Source organism: Homo sapiens, chromosome 6, assembly GCF_000001405.40.
Source record: "Homo sapiens chromosome 6, GRCh38.p14 Primary Assembly".
In the NCBI taxonomy this organism is placed as follows: domain Eukaryota; kingdom Metazoa; phylum Chordata; class Mammalia; order Primates; family Hominidae; genus Homo; species Homo sapiens.
This window is the reverse complement of record NC_000006.12, coordinates 44,919,438-44,943,865: the sequence shown is the minus strand read 5'-3', so window position 1 is coordinate 44,943,865 and position 24,428 is coordinate 44,919,438. Positions and strand designations below refer to the sequence as shown.

Genomic DNA, 24,428 nt, shown 5'->3' with positions numbered 1-24,428 from the left:
AAGTTAGCTAGTGATGGTTATCTTAGTTTTGATATTTCTGAAAAAGTCTTTACTTTTTCTTCATTGTTGGATGATGTTTCATTAGATACAGAATTCTGTCTCGAAAGTTTTATTTTTCAGTATTTTAATGATGTCATTCCACTTTTTTCTCTATTGTTTTTAATCATAAGTCAGTAGGTTTCTATTATCGTTTCCCTGTGTCTAATGTGTTGTTTTCTCTGGATGCTTTCAGAATTGTATTTTTACTTTTGATGTTCAGCTGTTTGGCCATGATATCCATAGACATGGTTTTCTTTGTATTTATCCTGCCGAAAATTCACCAAAATTCTTGAATCTTGAATCTCTTGAATCAAAGACAGTGTATGTCTTTAACCAAATTAGGGGACTTTTTGGCAGTTATTTCTTCAGATTTTTTTCTGCCTTATTCCCTCTCCTTCACTTCTGAAACTCCAAGTACATTGTATTAGTTACTTTGATATTATTCCATAGGTAACTTAGGTGCTTTTTAATTCCTCTTTTAATATTTTCTCTCTGTTCTTCAGATTGGAGCAATTCTATTGAACTTTTATCTTCTATACATTTCTTTCTGTCAACTCCAATCTATTGTGACACCCATCTAGTAATATTTTATTTCTGATATTTCATTTTATACTTCTAAAATTTCTATTTGATTTTTTATAGTTTCCATTTATCTATCATTATTTTTTATTTGTCCGTTTGTTACAAATGTATTTTATTTTGTGCTTTGGAGCATGGTTAGAATTGCTGTTTTAAAATTCTTGATTGCAAAATTAAATATGTGAATTTTCTTGGTCTCCATTGAATATAAGTCATGCTTTCTTGTGTTTTGCATGTCTGGTAATTTTGAATTGTAAAGTGGACATTGTGAGTAATACATCATAGGCATTTTAGGATTCTGTTTTATTCCTGTGAATATATTGTTTTTATTGGTGGTGGTGGTAGTGGCATTGGTATATGTGTTCAGCAGGGAAGTTACTTTTCTAGACTCACCTATAAACTTTGAACTCCTCTTCAGTGGCAGCAACTAGAATGTCTTTTCATTTCTTTTTGCTTTAGTGAGATTGCATGCATTTCATACCATACAGGAAGAACTTAGGGGTTAGTAAAAGATTTGCGGAAAGCCATACGTGACGGCACTTGTTATTTCAGCTACTCAGGAGGCTGAGATAGGAAGATCACTTTAGCCTAGGAGTTTCAGACTAGCCCGGACATAGTGAGACCCCATCTCTCCCCACCCACAAAAAAATATTTGGGTAAAATTTGTACACCGAATTTGGGGCTCCCCCTTTTTCTATTCTGTCCCTTTGGGGATTTCCTTTCTCATTCCGCACCTACTGTGATTGCGCGAACTCTGGCATCTCGTTTATCAAGGATCTAAGATTATATGTTAGCCACTCCTCTACCCACTGGATGCTGCCCTTAGGCTAAAACTGTAAAGACAGGAAATCCACCCACTGACATTCCCTTCTAAAAGTACATACTACCGTTTCCAGTTTCAGTCTGGTTTTGATCAGTCTACAGTGCTTTCATATACTTGGTTTTTTTTTTTATTACCTATTCAAAGTTTGTAAGAATTTCAGCTATTGTACTCTGCAACTCATTCAGTAGCTAAAACTATGGTAACAAAATCTTACCTAAAAGACCTCTTCAGTTAATTTGATTCACAAAGTATGTGAGAAGGAGTTGTAATTAACCTAGTGATATGTATACATAAATTAATTTTTTATGTTTTTAGAAATTCTTTACATTTTTCTCCGTATATTTAAACATTTCTTCCCGATCCTGTTGAAAACTATTAAATTGGAGTTATTTTACAACAAAGTTTTCCTGAGGAAAGTATTATCCCAGTCTATGTCTGTATTCTCTTGAATTTGAACTTAGTGGCATCAGAATTAATATTGTTCCACTTCAGAGGCTTTAATTATTTTTCTACTCATTTATACACTTCTTTCTATATTCAGACTTTTGCTATATTTTGAGTTTTACTCACTGGAAACCTCAGCTATGATGCTATAATGGTTCAAGTAATCCTGCATATAATAATAAAATCTCTACACTCACTACGTGTATTACAAGCCAAGAAATTTGATGTATAGTTATATCTGTAATACTATTGTTGTAGCCTTGGACATGTCCCGTATTTTCACTCTTTCATCTATAAAATTGTGTAGGAGTTGGAAACATTTAGAATAGACCATTCTTATGTCCCATCCAGAGATAATAATGTATGAATCCTTGAATTTAGTGAACCTCTATTATTTTTTCCTTAAACACCTTTCTGGTTTTAATTAAAGAAAACCTTTTTCAGTCACCTATAAGAAAACCCCATCAGACTAACAGCAGACTTCTCAGCAAAACCTTACAGGCAGGCTAGGAAATAATGGGATGGCATTTTCGAAGTACTGAAAGAAGAAAAAAACTGTCAGCCAAAAATTTTGTATACAGTAAGATTAAGCTTCATAAATGAAGGAGAAATAGCTTTTCCCAGGTAAGCAAACACTGAGGGACTTCATCACACTAGTCTGACCTTACACAAAATGCTCAAAGGAGTCCTAAACATGGAAACAAAAGGTTAATATTCGCCATCATACAAAGACACAAAAGTATAAAATTCTCAGGTCTTATAAAATATCACACAAAGAAGGAAGAGAAATGAATCAAATGGCAATTTGGCAGAATTCCACCAAACCACAAAGAGAAAAAGAAACAAAGAATTTATCAAACAACTAGAAAATAATTAACAATATCACAGGAGCAAAACCTCACTTATCAATATTAACCATGACATAAATGGATTAAATGCTCCACTTAAAAAATACAGATTGGCAGAATGGATGGAAAAAACAAAACATGATTTAACTATATGTTGCTTACAAGAAACTCACTTTACCTATAAAGACATATATGGACTGAAAGTGAAAGGGAGGAAAAAGACATTTCATGCAGATATAAAGCAAAAGTGAACAGCAGTAGTGATACTTAGATAACACAGACTTTGTATCAAAAACAGGAAAAAAGACAAAGAAAGTCACTACATAATAATAAAGGAATCAGTTCAGCAAGAGGCTAAAACAATTCTAAGTATATATGCACCCAACACCGGAAGGCTCAGATTCATGAAACAAATATTACTAGACCTAAACAAATATTACTAGACTTATTACTAGACCTAAAGAGATAGACAGCAATACAGTAATAATGGACAACTTCAACACCCTGTTGACAGCATTAGTCAAATGGTTGAGACAGAAGTCAACAAAGACATATTGGACTTAAATTGGACTTTAGACCAAAAGGACTTCAACAATCATTTACAGAACATTCTACCCAACAACTGCAGAATATGCATTCTTCTTATGAGCACATGGAACATTTGCCAAGATAGATATCACATGTTAGGCCACTAAACAAGTCTTAAGAGATTTTTAAAATCAAGTATCTTCTCAGACCACAGTGGAATAAATCTGTAACCAGTAACAAGAGGAGCTTCAGAAAGCATAAAAATACATGGAAATTAAACAATATCCTCTGGAATGATCATGGGATTAATGAAGAAATTAAGACACATTAAAAGATTTTTTGAAACAAATGAAAATGGAAACACAACGCACTGAAACCTGTGGTATACAGCAAAAGCATTGCAAAAGGGAAGTTTGTAGCATTAAATGCCTATATATCAAAAAAGCAGAAAGATCCCAAATTGATGACCTATCATTCTGTCTCAAGGAATTAGAAAAGCAAGAAAATACCAAACCCAGAATTATCAGAAGAAATAACAAAGACCTGAGCAGCACTAAATAAAAATAAAGACAAAAAAAAATACAAAAGATCAAGGAAATTAAAAGTTGGTTCTTCAAAAAGATAAACAAAATTGGTAAATTGCTAGCAAGACTAACTAGGAAGAGAGAGGATCCAAATAAACAAAACCAGAATTGAACAAGAGATATTACAACTGATACCACAAACATACAAAAGATTGTCACAGACTATTATGAGCAACTATACACTCACAAAGTAGAAAACCTGGAAGAAATGGATAAATTCCTGGAAACATACAACCTCCCAATATTGAACCCAGAAGAAATAGAAATCCTGAATAGACCAATAACAAGTACCAAGATTGAATCAGTAATTTAAAAATCTCCCAACAAAAAAGAATTCAGGACCAGATGGATTCACAGCCAAATGTGTACAAAGAAGAATTAATACCAGTCCTCCTGAACCTGCCCCAAAAAATTAAGGAGTAGGGAATTCTCCATAAATAATTCTATGAGGTCATTACCATCCTGATACCAAACCAGGCAAGGACACAACAAAAACAGAAAAGTACAGACCAATATCCCTGATGAACACAGACTCCAAAATCCTCAACAAAATACTAACAAACCAAATCTACTAGCATATCATAAAGATAATTACCATGGTTGAGTGAGTTTTATACCAGGGATACAAGGATGCAACATACACAAATCAATAAATGGGATACATTACATAAACAGAATGAAGGACAAAAATCGTGATTATCTAAATAGGTACAGAAAAAGCATTTGATACAATTCAGCATCCCTGCATTATAAAAACCCTTAACAAACTAGGCCTAAAAGGAATATACCTCACAGTAGTAAAGGCCATATACTACAAACCCACAGCCAACATCATACTGAAGTGGAAAAAGTTGAAAGCGTTCCCTCAAAGAACTGTAACAAGACAATGATGCCCACTTTAACCACTCCTATTCAACATAGTACTGGAAGTCCTAACCAGAACAATAAAGCAGGAGAAAGAAATAAAAGTTATCCAAATTGGAAAAGAAGAAGTAAAATTATTCCCGTTTGCTGATTATATGATCTTATATCTAGAAAAACCTAAAGATTCCACCAAAAACCTCTCAAATTTGATAAATGAATTCAAAGTTTGAGTACACAAAATCATTGTACAAAAATCAGTAGTGTTTCTATTCACCGATAATCTAGCTGAGAAAGAAATCAAGAAGGCAATCTCATTTAAAGTACTACAAAGAAAATAACAAAATATCTAGTAATATTTAACCAATGAAATGAAAGATCTCTACAAAGAAAACTACAAACCAGCGATGAAAGTAATTGTAGAGGATACTGACAAATGGAAAACCATCCCATGCTTATGGATCAGAAGAATTAATATCATTAAAATGATTATACTGCCCAAAGCATTGTACAGATCCAGTGCAATCTCTATCAAAATACCAACCCCATCTTTTACAGAATTAGAAAAAAAAATCCTAAAATTCATATGGAACCAAAAAAGTGCTCAAATAGGCAAAACAATCTTAAGCAAAAACAACAAAGCTGAAGACATTACATTTCCTGACTTCAGATTATACTGTGAGGCCATAGTAACAAAACAGCATGGTACTGATATAAAAATAGACACATAGGTCAATGGAAGAGAGTAGGTAACCCAGAAATAAAACCATGTATTTACAGCCAACTAAACTTTGCCTAAGTTAACAAGAGCATACACTGGGGAAAGGACACCCTCTTCAGAAAAAGGAGCTGGGGAATTGGATCAGCATATGCAGAAGAATGAAACTGGTCCCCTATCTCTTATCATATACAAAAATCAACTCAAGATGGAATAAAGACTTAAAGATAAGACCTGAAACTATAAAAAGATACTCAAAGTAAACCTGAGGAAAACTCTTCTGGACATTGGTCTAGGTGAAGAATTCATGACTAAGACCTCAAAAGCACAGGTAAAAAAAAAAAATAGACAATGGGACTTAATTAAACTAAAAAGCTTCTGCATGGAAAAAGAAATAAGATAGTGACAGGAGGCTGAGGCAGGAGAATTGCCTGAACCCAGGAGGCGGAGGTTGCAGTAAGCTGAGATTACACCACTGCACTCCAGCCTGGGCTACAAAGTGAGACTCCGCCTCAAAAAAAAAAAAAAAAAAAAAAAAAAAGATAGTGAGCAAAGAACCTGCAGAATGGGAGAAAACATTTGCAAATTGTGCATCCGACAGGGGACTAACAGCCAGAATTTACAAGGAACTCAAACAGCTAAACAACAACAACAAAAAAACACCAAGTAATCCCATTAAAAACTAGTCAAAGGAAATGAATAGGCATTTTTTAAAATAAGACATACCGATGGCCAACAGGCATATAAAGAAATGCTCAACATCACTAATCAGAGAAATGCAAATTAAAACCACAATGAGATATCATTTTACACCAATCAGAATGGCTATTATTAAAAAGAGAAAATAACATGTTGGTGAGGATATGGAGAAAAGGGAACTCATGTACACTGTTGTTGGGAATGTAAATTAGTACAACTTCTATTGAAAACAGTACGGTTTTTTTTTTTGAGACAGTGTCTCACTCTGGTACCCAGGCTGGAGTGCAGTGGCGTGATCTGGGCTCACTGCAACCTCCACCTCCCGGGTTCAAGCGATTCCCTTGCCTCAGCCTCCCGAGTAGCTGGGATTACAGGCAAGTGCCATCACACCTGGCTAATTTTTTTATATTTTTAGTAGAGACGGGGTTTCACCATGTTGGCCAGGCTGGTCTCAAACTCTTGACCTCTAGTGATCCACCTGCCTCGGCCTCCCAAAGTGCTGGGATTACAGGCATGAGCCACTGCGCCTGGCCAGTATAGCTATTTCTTAACTGAAAATAGAACTATCATTCAATCCAGCAATCTCATTACTGGGTATCTAGTCAAAGGAAAAGAAATCATTACATCAAAAAGATACCTCCTCTCATATGTTTATTTGCACTTCTATTTACTTTGGCAAAGATGCAGTCAACCTAAGTTTCCATCAACAGATGAATAGGTAAAGAAAATGTGGCATGTATACACAATGGAATAATATTCAGAAATGGAAAAGAATGGGTCAGGTGCAGTGGCTCATGCCTGTAATTCCAGCACATTGGGAGGCCGAGGCAGGTGGATCACTTGAGGTCAGGAATTTGATACCAGCCTGGCTAATGTGGCAAAACCCTGTCTCTACTAACAATACAAAAATAAGCCAGGTGCGGTAGGTGTGCCTGTAGTCCCAGCTATTTGGGTGGCTTATGCATGAGAATCACTTGAACTTGGGTAACAGAGGTTGCATTGAGTCAAGATCGCACCACTGTACTCCAGCCCGGGGGACAGAGCAAGACGCTGTCTCAAAAAAGAAATAAGGAACGAAATAATATTTTTTACAACATGGATGGAACTAGAGGCAATCATCTTATGTGAAACAGCTCAGAAACAGAAAGTCAAATATTGCATGTTCTTACTTATAAGTGAGAGCTAAATAATGTGTACACATAGAGGTAGAGTGTGGAATGATAGACAATGGAGATTTGGAAGGTTGGGAGTAAGTAGGGGTAGATGATGAGAAATTACTTAATGAGTAACTATGTTACTCAAGAAATGGATATCCTAAAAGCCCTAACTTTACCACTCTAATCTATGCATGTAACATAATCACACTTGTACTGCATACATTTATACAAAGAAAAAAATAAATAAAAGCTTTTTCTAGTTATATAAGAACTACATTTTAACAGTTACCATCTCAAACTTTTAAATGAGAAAATTACATATGTTGTACACTATATCCTTTGGCCAATGAATGGCCCACCTTCATGTGAAAAAAATTCTCCATAAGGATGAAACTTTGGAGGAGCTATGTGTGTAACAGGAGAAAGACAATACTTCCTTGGCCAGATCATATCAACTTTTGTGGTCTGCAAAATGTTAGTAATAGTAGTACTAGACTTTCAGTTGCTCTAGTCTGAGGTAAGTGTTACTTCTCTGTAAGACTTAAGATTTTACATTTAGCAGAAGATCTAGTTTACCATTATAGATGTGGAAAGAATAAGATGCAGTTGATTGAGATTCTAGATCCTTCTTAAACACTCACTCTGGTAAGGGGAAGGCTGAGAAAGGATAGGACACTAACCCTGCCAAGAACTTTTTTAAGTTGGGAGAAAAAGGTTCAGTGAGAGATCCAGGGGCAAACCTAAGTTTCAGTATAACTTTCTGCATCACAGTTGAGAGTTTAAACTGCTAAGATATTTTGTTCATTGTAAACCGGCAGAGAAAAGCAGAGAGACAACAGCCAAATCCGGAAAATATGTAGAACTCCATATGCTATTTCAGCTTCTAATACCCAGCATCAGTTTCTAGTTGAAGAACTATTAATACAAAAATGGAAGGATACAAGAATAGAGTGTGAATGCAGCCAAGAGGAAGAGGACCTGACATATGGAGAACTTTTCCAAACAGCTAGTACTTTTCTTAAAGAAATACAGAGTTTATATCCCAGAGAGATTTCTGCAAATACTCTATAAACAGGACTCAGTATTTTGTCAAATATTTGGGTTTAGTTTTTGAAAATTTAAAGAATATCATAAAATTTAGGCCTAATCAGGATGCTAAAGATGAATTGATGTATAAGTATAATGCTCTTCACACGTGTTTATAGCTGATATAAGATTATTAATAACAAATATGTACATTTTATGTTAATTCTTCTGAAGCAATTTTGAAGAATATAATGCTAGAATCACTGCTATATTAAAAATTCTAAACTTTGGATACATTTTTAATTTGAACAGATTATTAGCACCTTGATAAAGGACTAGATGTTGACAGACAAAGAGAATGTGAAGATATTTGTTGAGGTGGAAAAAAAAAAAACTGGGATTATAACGTTTAAAGGCTTCCTTCCGGAGAACTCAATGAGCAAATCAAGAAAGTATAAAAGTGCGCCTAGTAGCTTCATTATGCTAATGTTAACAGTTGCTGAATTATGGCAGATAAACCTGAAATTGGCAAAATGGAAACTCTAATGACATTTTTCACAAAATTCAATGTTTTTATTTTAATATAATTTAATGTCACATTTTGGCAAAAATAGCATGATTCAGCCAGGCTGGCTTATGTGTCTCCATATCTTACAAATGGCAGTCACAAAATTTTTCTAACTTAGCTTCTATCTTAGTCCATTTGGGCTTCCATAACAAAATCCTGTAAACTGGGTGGCTTATAAACAATAGGAATGTATTTCTTATAGTTCTGGAGGCTAGGAAGTCCCAGATTAAGACATTGGCAAATTCAGTGTTTTGTGATGGCCCACTTCCTGGTTCATAGGCAGTCATCTGTTCACCCAAACCTCACATGGCAGAAGGGGTGAGTGGTCTTTCCCTGGTCTCTTTAAAAGGGAACTAATTCCATTCATGAGAGCTCCACCCTCGTGGATAAATCAATTCCCAGAGGCTTCTTATCCTAATACCATCACTTTGTGGGCTTGGATTTCAACGTACAAATTTTAGGGGAACACAAAGACTTACCATAGTAAACCTCCTACTTCAGTTTTTGATCAGTGTTTCATATAATATCTTAGAGATAGCTCCATAGGAGTATGTAGGGAACTGCCTCATTCTTTTCAGTGGTTGCTTTGGTTTCTGTTTCTTTGAATGGATAATTTATTTAACCAATCCCTCATTAATGAACATTTAGTACTATAGTAAGTATCCTTATGTATATATATTATTTTGTACCTGTGCAATATATCTGTAGGATAAATTCTTACAGGTGAAATTGCTGAGTAAAAGAGGTTGTTCTTTTTCATTTTTATAAGATTTTGCCAAATTGCTATCCATAGAGGTTGCTATCTATAGAGTTATATTCCCTACAAAGAATTATGAGTAAAAAATGTATTAATTATCAAAAAAATACAGTAATTATCAGAAAAACAAATAATATTAATTCTGTGACTACAAATGACTTCTAGACCCGTTATAGTAATATGCAAGTTAATTCTTTAATGTTGATGGCCTGCCATCTGCTACCTACTATACTTTGAAGTAAATGAGCTTCCATTTCAAAAACTTAGCGATCCCATTTTTAACACTTAATTTAAATAACCTAATACTATTACTAGCTAACATTACCCAGGAGGCTGAGTCAGGAGGATCACTTCAGCCCAGCAGTTCAAGACCATCCTGGGCATCATAGCGAGACCATATCTCTAAAGAAATTAATCCTTTTTTTTAGCCATATGTGGTGGCACTTGCCTTTAGTCTCAGCTACTTCAGAGGCTGAGGCCAGAGGATCGCTTGAGCCCAGAAGTTTGAGGCTTCAGTGAGCTGTGAGCACACCACTGCACTGCAGTCTAGGTGACAAAATGAAACATCTCTTTATAAAAATAAAACAATTTCCTAGCATGTGTCAGGCATTGTTCTAAGTGGTTTATGTATTTCAACTTATTTAATTTTCACAACAGTCCTACAAGCAATTATAATTGTTTTCCCAATTTACAGGTGAGGAAACCGAGGCCCGAGATATTATGTATCTTGGCAGAGCTGGTAACTTGTAGGGCTAAACCCTAGCCCTATAAGTTATTTTGAAAAATCATGCTGAACACACATATACACATCTATAATTTCTTAAGTTTGTATTCACACTCTCATCGCAAATAATCCTTATCTTTTTTGTATCTTTTTGTGCTTGCAAACCTGCCTTTTACAGATGCGGCAAATTAAAACAGAAAGTTGTTGGTTTCGTTTTTGTTTTGTCCTGAGATACCTAGAAAATTAGAAACCAAGTTGAAATGGTCTTATGACAATCCCAGGTATGATAAATAAATGTATCATAATTTAACATTTTTCATTTTAAGTTGATGACCCTCAAGTTATTTCAGAAATGTGCCAAAGAAGCTCCTAAGAAACGTTTATAATAATAAATGTTAAAATGTTTTTTTTAAAAAAATAACTTCCTGTGGTTCTTTCAGTAAGCTTTCATGACACTTTTTATCTGCAGGCAAGTGGCTGTATTCTCCTGTGTCTTGACATGCAGGCTTAGGTGAAATATTGTGGGCATAAAAATTGCGTTTGGTAGGTCTGCTAGAAAGGGGTCATGTAAAAGTCATCTTTGATTTGTTAATGGAATTCTTTTTTAGATGTAGTATATGGCAGTAGTGATGTGCATCCTAAGGGAAAAACCGGTCTCTTTTGTAAAGGTTTATTTTCATATTTATACACTGTAGTTCTGTTGCGTGTTTTTGATTTAGTAACAATTTATGTGTTTTTCTGTCGCAGAGCACTGCAGCCTGTGGTGTTGAGGCTCACAGCGATGCCATCCAGCCCTGCCACATCAGAGAGGCCATTCGACGCTACAGCCACAGGATTGGCCCACTTTCCCCATTCACAGTACGTAATAACAGAGTTATAAAAAGTTATATTTATAATATGAAAGAATTTTGATTTTCAAGTGGTCAAATGAAGAAGCAATGGAATTGTTGAAAGCAATTTGTGGTGACTGTAATTTTGTTGTATAAAAGTGGCATAATTCTCTTGGGAAATGAAAGTCATTTTCATCTCTTTTTGGAAGGACACTTTTTTTCTACAAAATATTATTTTCTTTCAATTACAAATTAAGTTTTTTTGTTGAGGTTTATAGTTTCTATTTTTCAAAGCTTAGGTTTATAAAACGTTATTCTCAAATTATATGTATCTAAATATTGCTAGTAGCACTTTATATTTTAAAATTGGTTAGATTGGCATTACCACTTCTATCAGATATCCTTCTCCTAAACATGCTTTTAGTTGGAAGAAGAAGAGATATTTCTTTACTGGCTTTGAACTAAGCTGAAATGCAGACAGCCTTTTACATCTTCAAATGATTTGAAAACTTATAATCAGGGTTTTGTGTTGTTTTAATGGGGAATTAAAGACCTGATATTTCAACAGTCTAAAGAAAGTGTGTGCAGGTGTGTGTGTTTTAATTAAATGCTCATCTTATGGCCCTTTAAAAAAAAGATCTTATTTGTGTTAAGAGAAATTTCTTCAAGTCCTACTCTGTTTATAAGGAAGTAGTTCAACAGAAAGTAAAGTTTGATATACCTAACTGAGGAAAGTCAAATTTACTTTTTTGATACTCTGTTTTAACAAGCTAATGAAAATGTATATGTATAACATTATACATAAACAAATGAGAAAATAAATAGTATTACATAGTATACATTTTTACCTGAGTGGATTTTACTATTCATAAAAGTCATGATTTTGTCTATATTATCTTTTTTCCTTATGTTTAGTTAAATAGAATGCTTTCTTTCCATCCTTTATTTTTTTTAGTTGTTGTTAATTATGTAGATAGATTCTCTGTGTAACAGGAAGAACATGTTTTATAAATGTCTCCAGAAGCTCTCTGTAATGGTGAAACTTTGCACTTTTAATATTTGAAGTTTATCTTATATAAGAACATGATTTTAATATTGCTGATTAAAGCAATATATCCTTTTGCATGAATGTTTTTGAAGTCTTATAATTGAAAAGAAATAATTAAATCAAGTTTCTTTTACATGATGGGTGAAGCTGTTTTAAATGACAGGCCAGAAGGAAGATGAACATGAAAAATTATGAATGAGAAAAATAAGAGATAATTGGAAGTAAGAATTTAAAAACCAACTGAGAGTGAAAAAAAACTTATAATGAAAGATTAAAAATATCAAATCCATCGAAAACAGTCAAATAATGATGAATAGGTTGAGACAGTGGAAGGGAAAAAGAAGAAAAAAGAGGCAGTGTTTGATAATAATCTAGAAGCAATTAAAAGATAGCAAAGGGAAACATGATTTTTGAGAAATAACCTAAAATGGTAACTAAAAGTAATGAATAAGATTACATAAAGGAAAATGTATCTGATACAAGGAGAAAATGCCCTAATCATGAAGTCTGCATTATTTCCTCAAAAAGAAGCGGTAGCTGCTTCTCTCTTCAAAGTTTTTGTTTTTAAAATAGACTGGACAGATCACCTGAGAGCCATCGTGGTTGATGACACTATTTACATACATGTGTGTGTGTATATCTTTTCCCCCATGTCCAACCTGGTACTTATGTATTACTACTTTTACAATCTAAGACTGTTAGTATTAGTATATGATAAAAATGCACTTTAAGCTAGCTTCAGGTATTGCCTAAGCTAATTTGGATCTAATAAACATAAAGAATGGGCTTTTTAAAACTGATGACACAATTTTAAAATGCTTAATTTAAATACATCTAGAAAATAAAACAAGCCATGACCTGGAAGGTTCAGTTAGCCGCTAGTAGAACAATCAAACAAAATCAACAACAAATGGTAACAAACTCCACCCCAGAGGGGCACCCAAGGTGTTATTATTCCTCAGGAGGGGACCACCACCTGGAAAGGTCTCCTCCATTTTCTTCAGCTATGAGAATTTGCGCACTACAAGAGTGAATATGCCTGCACTTTTTTTTTTTTTTTTTTTTTTTGAGACGGAGTCTCACTCTGTTTGCCCAGGCTGGAGTGCATTGGTACGATCTCAGCTCACTGCAACTTCTACCTCCCAGGTTCGAGCAGTTCTCCCTACCTCAGCCTCCTGAGTAGCTGTGATTACAGGCACCTGCCACCATGCCCAACTAATTTTTGTAATAATTTTTTTTTCTTTTTTTTTTTGAGACGGAGTCTCACTCTGTCACCCAGGCTGGAATGCAGTGGCGCGAACTCGGCTCACTGCAAGCTCCGCCTCCCGGATTCACGCCATTCTCCTATCTCAGCCTCCTGAGTAGCTGGGACTACAGGCACCCGCCATCACGCCTGGCTAATTTTGTGTGTGTTTTTTAGTAGAGACGGGGTTTCACCATGTTAGCCAGGATGGTCTCGATCTCCTGACCTCATGATCTGCCTGCCTCAGCCTCCCAAAGTGCTGGGATTACAGGCGTGAGCCACCTCGCCCAGCCTAATTTTTGTAATTTTTAGTAGAACTTCGCCATGTTGGCCAGGCTGGCCTTGAACTCCTGACCTCAGGTGATCCACCCACCTCGGCCTCGCAAAGTGCTGGGATTACAGGTATGAGCCACAGCGCCCAGGCTACCTATGCTTTTTTATATCATGAATTGCATGACCAGGGTGACACAGGTTTCAGGGTATATAATACATAAATCTTCCTTTTAAAGTTAAAAATTATCTCATTAAAATGGGATGGATTTGTAGACTGTGTGTGTCAATAACGCGGCCACCCTGTCTTGGCTCCCACATACCTCAAGCTGCTAAAAAAAAAAAAAAAAGGGAGCTCATGGTAGAAACTTACCATGATTGGGGATGCTGATGTTCACTTCCCTAAGGTCCACTCTGAGGACCTGACATGGTACTTTAAGCTGCAGTGGGGACACTTTGCCACCTTGGCTTTGAGCTGCAGCTCCTAACAAGAGAAAAGGTATGTGGACTGCTTTTATAGTAATCATAGATTGACACCTATATTTTCATACAGAAAGGCTGAACTGACTTGCCTCCAATGTAAAATGTACTTCATAAATTAAAATGCCAATGAACAACTAGTTTATATTTATGAAGCATAGAGATTTTGTCTTCATAGCATGTCATCCCAAATCTAGAGTTTTTGGTATATATTTAAATGTAACATCTAATTTAGAATACCCATAACAATGTGTATATATATATCCATTTACCAATAATTTGATATTGTTAATAGTTTACATGGAAACATAATTCAGATACTATATTTAAAAATCTGCTTTTAGCGAGTCATCTTTCTGTCTACTTTATGACTTCTGAAATAATTTTATACCAAATGACATGATCAATTTCAGGAATATAATTCATTATATAAAGAATTGTAAGTGAATTTTTCACCTTAGGAATTATTTAAAGTGATAGAAGAAAGGAATACTTAAAGCCATGTTAGCTGGGGAAGAAGGAGAAGAGTACAAACAATGCTTTGAATTGTAGTAGCTCCTGGAGTAGGAAGTACACAGGGAGAATGGCATAAACATCAGTCACCTGCCACACACCTGTGAACACCACATTCATGTGTGCTGTGGAGACACACACCATCCGTCCCCACTCAGTGGTTAACAACAGTACTCTCTTTGGCATATTGGTTTTCATTGGTGATTTGTTTCTTTTCTTTTCTTTTTTTTTTTTTTTTTTTTTTGAGACGGAGTCTCGTTCTGTCGCCCAGGCGGGAGTGCTGTGGCGCGATCTCCGCTCACTGCAAGCTCCGCCTCCCAGGTTCACGCCATTCTCCTGCCTCAGCCTCCCGAGTAGCTGGGACTACAGGCGCCCGCCACTGCGCCCAGCTAATTTTTTGTATTTTTAGTAGAGACGGGGTTTCACCGTGGTCTCGATCTCCTGACCTCGTGATCCGCCCGCCTCGGCCTCCCAAAGTGCTGGGATTACAGGCGTGAGCCACCGCGCCCGGCCCTTGTTTCTTTTCTGTATTCTCATTTATTCTCAATCCTACACAGAAGATAAGAGAAGGTATCTTACCTTCTTAAGTAATTTTCCTAAGTCAAGCTATTCATTAGATTAAATTAAATTAAACCAGAGCTAAGATTCAGGCCTTCCAACCCCTAGCTTCAAACACTTTCTCCTGAAATACACACTTTTGCAACTGTGCCCACCGTACCTCACTTTCTGTATACACACTCTAAAGAACCTTTAGAGAAACTAATTTTACTTTTTTGCTTCTTGTTTGTTTTTCTTAGTTCTAAAAATCACTTCAGATTCTATGATCTGCAGTATTCTAGAGTGCTTTTGCAACCTAGAATGTCCTGAGTGATTTTGATGCTTGCCATCTTATATTGCATTTTTATTCATAGTAGTTGATAATATGTGAAGTTATATTGTGTGGTGATTAAGAACTTCGATCCTGGAGCTAAATGGCTAGGGTCCAGATCCCAGCCCTGCTACCTACAAGCTGAGTAGCCTTACACAGGTTTTTTCACCGCTTTATGGCTGTTTCCTCATCCCTAAAGTGAGGATATTAGATTATACTTCATAATAGGATTTAAGAAGTACTGTAAGAACTAAGCTCTTAATAAATTATATTAGTAATAGTGGAAGTAGTAGTAGCTATGGTATATTTTTTAAAAGACATAAATAATACAAAGTAAGCGGAAACCATTCCACTCAACCACACTCAAATGCGTGTGCCTGTGCACACATATGTACACACCGAGCCTATCTGGCCTTACTCTATAAGCCCGGAAAAAAACTAAAAATTTCAATAATAATGTGGTTTGTTTATGGACTAATAGTTTGTACCATTGAAATTTAAATACCATGTAAAAATTATTGTTCCTGAAAATATTCATTTTTACTCTTTGGATTAATAACGGCTAAAGAATATAATTGTTTTTTTAATCACTGATCATCATAAATAAGTCTTAGCAACTGAGTGTACATACTTACCACCCGATTTTTTGCATACCAGCTAGGTTTTGCATACTAGCTCTGTGGAACAGAAATCTAAAGAACAAATGGGTGACCTAATTTATAAAGTTTCTTCAATTTCAGTGTTTGTGATTTTACATATTTGCATAAGTTATTGAAAAGGTTTTCAGAAATTGATGAATATATCAAAGTTGATACATTTTTTAATTACTGGGCTTATTTTTCTCAACTTTTAAAGTTTCTTCAGTTTACTCATTATGAAAGAAATGCTACTGTTAGAAAATTACGAAAATATAGAAAAATAAAGAATAGAATAAAACTTACATCCTAGAGATAACTACTGTTAATATATCACTACCTTTTCATCCTGCCCTTTTTCTTTGTATATACATATTAATAATTTAGCAAAATTGAGATTATTCTAATATTGTTACTTATCATTTTATAGTATATTATGTAGTCCTTAAAAACATGATTTGTAATAGCTTCATAATACACATTATACATCTAACTGTACCTTTATTCACTTAACCATTCCATTTTGTTCTTTATTTAGGTTATAAATAGTGATAGTGGATATTCTTGTATGTAAATATTTATCCATCTATCTAGTTGTTTCCTTATGATAGATTACTAGAAGTGAAATTCCTGGATCAAAGGATTGGACCTTTTAAATTTCCTGATAATCTTACCAAAATAATTCTTAGAAAACATGAATGACTTCATAATTGTATAAGTGGTATATGAGAGTATAAACTCAAATCAGCGTTGAATATTATCAGTTTTATTTTTGTCATTTTCCAGGCAAAAATAAAGTAGCAACTATAGCAGCTAATATTTGTTGAGCACTCATGCATCATGCACTGCACTGTACTGACTCACACAGGCCTCATGACGACCTTAACAAATAGAAACTATTGTTAATTTATAGATGAGAAAACTAACAGACTGTTACTAGCCTTCCCAAGTTAACATACAGCTAGTGAGTGATAGGATATTTTTGTTTTAATTTGTATTTGATAACTAATGATATTGAACATTTTTATATATTTACTAATAATTTGTATTTCTTTGAATTGAATTATGTCTTTGCCATTTTTTGTAGGGCATTAGATTTATTTGTATGAATCTACTAACTTATGTGAATAAATTTTTGTAATTAAAAAAATTTTTAAGACATTTATCAGTCATGAACAGTAAAACTTTTTGTCAGGTTTGTTGCAGGTATTTTTCCCAGTTCTCCATTTATCTTAATTTTTTTCTAATTCGATATGTTTTCAATATATAGGATTTTATGTAGTTAGGTCTACTGGTATTTTCCTCTATAATATTCCGTTGTCTTAAGATTTAAAAAATTGTATAACCTGAGATTAAATACACATCTGTATTTTTAATTATTTTTTATTCAACTATAATTCTACATTTTTATCTAATATATGGAATGAGAGTTTCTATAATATAAAAACTAAATATCAAAATATGCCAATCAATTAAATGAGTAATCTATCCAGTTCCTATTTATTAGGATTACTTTATTTATCATCTGTTAAATTACTACAAGCGTATCGCGGGTCTTTCTGTTTTCTATTCTGTATTATTTTCCAAAATTATTGATAATGTTTTGTATGTACTACCTGAATATATAAAGAATACAATATTGAGGAAGGGCCTCAGGGTCTAAAAATGGGTGTAACAAAGGTTTAAATGAATTGTCCCATCAGAAAATTCATTGGCATTTGTTTGAAGAATATTTTTTTCACAACCTAAAAATTCAAATGCTTTTGAATGGTAATGGTAATGATTTTAACAAAAACATTCTTAGAATTTACTTGTTCAGGGTTAGAAGTAAAGAGCATTTTAAAATGTTATGATTAGAGCATTTGGTGTTTTCTCTCAGAGAAAATAACTCTGAGGGGTAGTCTAGTGTTCTCTTATGTCACAGGGAAGGTGGTCAGACATGTTTTATCTAGATCTTCACTATTTACAAGCAGTGGGTGGTACCCATGGTTACCTACTCAAGCCTAGCTCTCAATGGGAAGTGCTGTAAATTGCTGATATAAACCCAGGTCTGTAATTTTGAAAGCCAGAGAAAGGAAACTGTGTTTGCCGAGTGTGATGACATAATCCCATCTGTAATGCCTAAATCTATTTTAGTTTCTCCTGATATTCACAGTAGAAAAATGTTAACCCTCTGAACTTGCATGTTATCAGGTAACTTTCTATTGAACTAGAATAGTGAGACAATAAAATTGCTCATTTAAGCATGGTCATTAACCTGAATAATACCTTAAGTGCATCTGTAGAAACAAATCTCTAGTCCTTACTGGAGAGGACTTGAGCTAGCCAGTTAGTCTGGACCTCTGAGAAGCTTTGTGCTGTACCCAAAGACACTTTGCAAGTGCATGACAGAACTAACCCTAGAATCCAGCCTCCTGACTCTCAGATTACTGTGCCCATTTACTTTGATGTAAATTTATTAGAGGGTACTAGAGATGTTTTCATATCATTAGTTTAGGGATGTTCATAATGGACTAATAGGGATCGAAAATATGAAAAATTTTTAAAGAATTCTTCACATTGAACTTTTAAAAACAAAAGTGGCATGGCAGATTGTTTTGATCATTTTGATCTAGAATTTCATATTTGCAAATATTTATGTCATGAGCACATTAGGTTTGTCTGCATCTTATGTGTTCAACCTGGAAAATTAAATGTCACAAAATATTAGAATAATTTTCAAATGTAAATACCAAGTAGAAATTGGGTAGAAATAAATTATATGTGTTTTTACTGGAAGTGAAAATTTTCATAATAAATTTTTTGAGAGTACTAAATCTATTATTACAGATTGGAAACCAAACATATGTTTAAAACTGTAGGCCACTGATCCTAAGGAAAAAAATTAACATGTAGCATATTTATCATATAAGAATAACCTGAAAGTGAGTATTTCCCAGAAAGATATGAAACATTTAATTTAATTACTTTTAATTTTAATCACCAGAGCCTTTTCTGTGTACAGCAGCTAAATACTCTATGGCTTACTGGTACCATAGGCTTCAATAAATTCTTACTAATCCTACCCATTAAACTTTTTCTTTATTGGTTGACCTGTATTCTTAACTCTTTCAGTGGTTTTATTCTAAAACTACAGCATTTCCTAAACTAAATTCTGTAGAAGACAAGTATTCCAAGAGGTATTAAGTCTGTATTTGTGTAAGGAAGATCCACTCTTAAAATTTCACTCAGTAAGTATAGGTGTATTTTGAAGTCAAAGTTATGGATGACAGTTGGAATATTATATCCATTAATGTCCACTTTATTTTTGTATATTTTTAATTGCACAGCATTGAAAAGAGTTTGATTCAAAATACAGCCGTTTTTAATAATGTGCTATACAGGCCTGCAAAAGTCTTGGTGCAAAAGAAATAGTAAAAATTATTTGTTTGAAAGTTGTTTCACTAACAATATCTGGCACGTGCTTCCATTTCTAAACTGGAAAGTGTTTAGAGGGAATCAATATATGGATTTCTTATCCAGCATAATTCTTCAAGGTTTTCTGGAAAATATTTTTAAATGAATCTTAAAACACTGTAAGCTACTTAAAGATGTCACAAAGAAAATCTCCGTCATCTGAGGATCCTTCTCTGACAAATATTTATTGAAGTTTGAGAGTTAAATTTATTTTGCTTCGTCTATTGAAACCATATTTGGTGAACTTCATTTTCCGCTATTGTAAGCATAACATCATGAGTCTACATTGCCAACTGGAGTTCTATTATAAAATTGTTTATTGTTTTTTTGTTTTTTGTTTTTTTTAATCAGCAGGCAGATGTGGGGAGAAGGGAAGAGAGATCTTATCTCATTTAAACTCTCTGCAGCAATATCTTACCTTGGGGCAGCCAGTACATTTGTTTATAAGAAATTATTCAGTTCTGTTTTGAAAAATCCTGGTATTGCCAATAACTAATGTTTGTCTCTGTGGTATACAGTGACTGTTCAAACACATTTTACTCTTTCCTGCTTTCACTTTGTGTTATTAGTAAACACCTGAAATTTAGTTCAGCACAGGACATACATCCTGAGGTGATAGACTTACTTGCACAATTTTATTCAGAGTATATTTGGGCTGCTTTAAATATCAAAAACAAAACCTAAATTCCAAGACGTAACTTACTAATCAACAGAACAATTATGAAAAGTTCAAATATAAAACAGTGGATGACATAACCTTTATTTGGAGTAGCACAAAAATTGTGATAGACATTCAAACCAAACATCTATGGAGACCCTAGAATACTCCAAAGAATCCTAGAATTTTCAGGAACATAGTCTGGAAAAGCAAATCACTTTTCTCTAATGGGGGACATAAAGCAGCAATGAAAGATGACAGTCTTAATCATCCCTCTGTATTTTCTCCAAGTTTATATATTTCAAAGTCTTTTTAAATTGGTAGTACTTCAAGAAATCTATTTTTGTTATAACAGGTATACTGTATCTTGAGGAATAGAGGAAGAATTTGATCATGAGTGCAAGGAAAGGGGTAATTTATACCAAATAGAAACCTTTTGAGTGGAATATTCTAAAAGGACTAAATCTTGAGGTTTAAATGTTGTTACAGTTTCTGGGTTTTTGCTGTCTTCTGGAGGAATGGAAATCGAATGAAGAAAATCCTTGGAGTGACTCTGAAAAGGAAAATATGGCTTTAAAAAAATTACAGGATTCTTTTAACTCATGAATTCATGAAAGCAGCACAAGGATTAGCCAGGAGAAACTAAACTAAGTTGAGCTATTTCTAAATTTTAAAATTGTGCTGTAAAAATGGCAAGAAACTTCTTTAAAGTCTATGAAGAAACAAGAAGATTATAAATACTCAGATAGATGACTCTTTCAGTACATTAAGTTGCTCATGTTGACCTAGCAAAAATATTATTTTCATTTTTTAAGTATTTTATATACAAATTAGTTGAATATTAGAAAAATAACATATCAGTTCTATTTAAATAGATTATTTATTTACTATTGCCAGAAACATCTAACATTCATAAGTGTGTTTTGTTTAAGTGAAGCATTTGTATACTGTTTTATTGATAGTGTGACAAAAAAATCCCCTCCAAATACCTGTGATGAGAGCCTGTTGAACTGTAGGTGATTTACTTTTTGGTGATTTCTTAAATAGTGTTACATAACTTTAGTCAACAAATGTAATCATTGAAATGTCCTTTAATTTACTGATGTAGCTGCAAAGTTAATCCCAGAACATAATAAGTGGATTGTTTTAAATAGGAAATTTGCACCTTTCAAAAATGAAACTGATACCTTACTCTTATTGTGCCCAACATATATTTAAGACTATATGCAAGTTAGTTAAAATGTGCGGGAAAAAAATAATTATGCCTTGTTTTCCTAACCAGTGTTTTAATTATGATTTGATTTAAACCAAATCCCCTAGGCTATGTATGCACAGATCAAATCTCCCATCCCCACATACTGCCTCTGCATGACTCTAGGATGCGAGAAGAGAAAATTCATAGTCCATATGTCAGTCAGATGTTAATTTTTGCCCTGGCACCTGGATAGGTTCTCCCACCTGATTAGAGTGCACTCGCAGCTCTGGGCATATGCCCAATAGGTGGAGTATGCTCTCTAGATCAGGAAATATTTTGACTGATTAGTTGGCAGAGGTCATGAGGACAGAGCCCAGTGTCAGGCTCTGAGTTTGCCCAGGCGCATTCAAGGTGACAGTTGGGCTGCTGTGCCTCTCTGGTGGAAATAGCAGGGAGGGAGTATTTGAGTTGACTTTCTGGCTGCAGAAGTTCACAGCCTGGCCTACAGATTTCTGTCAATCCAATTCAAACACTTGTGTAGATTTTACAGTTTCCAGTAGAGACGTTAGAGACTACATTTCTGGCTCTGATTTCACTCTATATTCCTGATCTAACCCAAAAACCCATACCTGTATTCAAGACTAATTAGGTAAGATCCTAATAAGTAAATGAGTTATAGTTGACAAATATTTCTCATCCAAGCAGGGTTTTGGTGTTCAAAAGAGAAAGAGAAAAAAGAAAAGAGAGCTAGCTTGGTTTCTACACTGTGCTTTTCTCTGAAGCCACTGTCTAAAGAAGAAAGTATTAGGGGTTGATCTTCATGTTGGTGACCTAACTTTGCCTTAATTTTTGATGGCAAACAATGTCTATCGTTCACACAACCAGCTTGCAAATGGTTAAAATAAAAAATTAAGGAGGCAGGGCAAGACTGTGTACTGCTATGAGTCAATCTGTCACCCACCACTGCTAGAAAAACAATCCAAAGTACATGCCTTCCTGATAGAATGAAAGCACACTTCGCATACAAAGGACAGCACTTGATTTTTGAGTATGGACAAGAATCCGTATCTGTACAACTGAACTACATGTGACCATTATTAACATCCACATGTGTCCTGAGATCCTTATAGCTTTGATACCTGCATTTATTCAATAAGCATGTGCCAAACATTGTGTTAGAAATATATTGGGAGGGAGGTATGGTGTATGGAGATAAGAAACCAGTTATCCAAATATAGCAAAGGAGGTGAATAAATAAGCAGTGCCATGTGACTGATGTTGTAACTAAAAGAGGGACAGTCCCTTAGATACGGCGAAAGGATGGCACAATCTGCCTGAGGAAGTGAAGGAAAACTTTTAGGGTGTTTAATATTTGACTTTATAAAACAGAGGGGAAGGGAATGAATAGTGATTTTGAAAAGACAATACAAGCACACAGAGGAGCAGGAATAAAATGAAAAATAAAATAGATGTATGAAAGTAGCATGGCTGTTCAGGCAAAGATGAGGAACTGGATCTGGAGTACGTTGAGATGAGATGAAGCATCAAAGATAAAGTGATGCCATTTTGAGAAGGACTTTTAATTGCGAGCCAGTTTACCCAGACTTTATGATTTAGGGCAGCAGTTAGCAAACTGTTCTGCCAAAATACATTATGGATTTCCCACAAATAATAGTGTTTTCTCTAGTTATACAAATTTTTGTCTCTTAAATTTCTTTTTCCTTTTCTGTCTTTTTTTTTTTTTTTTTTGAAAGAAACAAGGTCCCATTCTATCACCCAGGCTGTGATGCAGTAGTGCAGTAATAGCTCACTGCAGCCTCCATCTCCCAGGCTCAAGTGATCCTCGTACCTCAGGCTCCCAAGTAGTTATGCACCACCATGCCTGGCTAATTTTTTAAAACTTTTTGGAGAGATGGGGTCTCACTCTCTTGCCCGGACTGGTCTCTAACTCCTGGCCTCAAGCAATCCTCCTGCCTTGGCCTCCCAAAGTGCTGGGATTACAGATGTGAGCCACCACACCCAGTGGGAAATTTTCTTTTAAACAACAGACATAGTCATTAAGGAGCTATTTCAGATTTTTTTAAGCAAAGTATTAATATGAACAGCTCTGTGTTGTAGAAAAATATAAGTGATTGTGGGTTGGGCACAGTGACTCATGCCTGTAATCCCAGCACTTTGGGAGGCCGAGGTGGGTGGATAACGAGGTCAGGAGATGGAGACCATCCTGGCTAACACAGTGAAACCCTGTCTTTACTAAAAATACAAAAAATTAGCCGGGTGTGGTGGCATGCGCCTGTAATCCCAGCTACTCGGGAGGCTGAGGCAGGAGAATCGCCTGAACCTGGGAGGCGGAGGTCGTGGTGAGCTGAGATCACGCCACTGCACTCCACCCTGGGCAACAGAGCAAGACTGGGTCTCAAAAAATAAAAAAGAAAAAAGAAAAAGAAGTGATTGTGTTGAGAAGAGACTGGTGTGAGGGGATATAATAGGCAAGGAAACAAATTAGGTGGCACTGCAATATTGCAGGCGAGAGGCTAAAAGAGCATCTTCTGAGGCAATGGCGTGAGACCAGAGAAGACAAAATGTATTCAAGATATATTTGCCGTATAGAATAAGTAGAATAAGACCCTGAGTGAGAGAAGAATAAAAAAATAGCAAGTTTACAATTTGGCTGAATGCATAGAACAGACAATTAGAAATGTTCTCGAGACTAAATTCAATGCTCATATACTTAATGAAGAACTTGCATTAAATTTAAAGATTCACCAGGGAAACTAATTTCAGGGGGATATCCTGGTTAAGGGTGGGGGTAGCTCAAAGCAGAAGTCATCTAAACTTTAAAAAAAAAAAAATACACTATAGCTTTCTGTTTGAACT

General features: G+C 34.9%; 1 protein-coding gene across 29 annotated transcripts in view, besides 1 other annotated feature; it reads left to right on the top strand.

Moving 5' to 3' along the window:
- SUPT3H (SPT3 homolog, SAGA and STAGA complex component) overlaps nt 1-24,428 on the top strand; it is a 568,878-nt gene that overhangs the window by 434,069 nt on the left and 110,381 nt on the right. For 23 of the 29 annotated variants that reach the window (NR_146632.2, NR_146634.2, NR_146633.1 and 20 more), the window contains one exon: nt 11,103-11,213. Coding sequence is in view for 17 of the 29 variants with exons in the window: in NM_001350327.2 (NP_001337256.1) it covers nt 11,103-11,213 (111 nt within the window). In the remaining 12 variants the exon portion in view is untranslated. Of the gene's footprint in view, nt 1-11,102; nt 11,214-24,428 lie in introns of those variants that run through there. The other 6 variants (XR_001743692.2, XR_007059346.1, XR_007059347.1 and 3 more) reach the window with 2 other exon arrangements.
- Nucleotides 13,567-13,768: a silencer, noted in NCBI's record as "fragment chr6:44897835-44898036 (GRCh37/hg19 assembly coordinates)". NCBI's record gives its function as "represses an EF-1alpha promoter that drives an FKBP-Casp9 reporter gene in an ReSE screen in HepG2 liver carcinoma cells {active_cell/tissue: HepG2}" and the evidence as "EXISTENCE:reporter gene assay evidence [ECO:0000049][PMID:32094911]".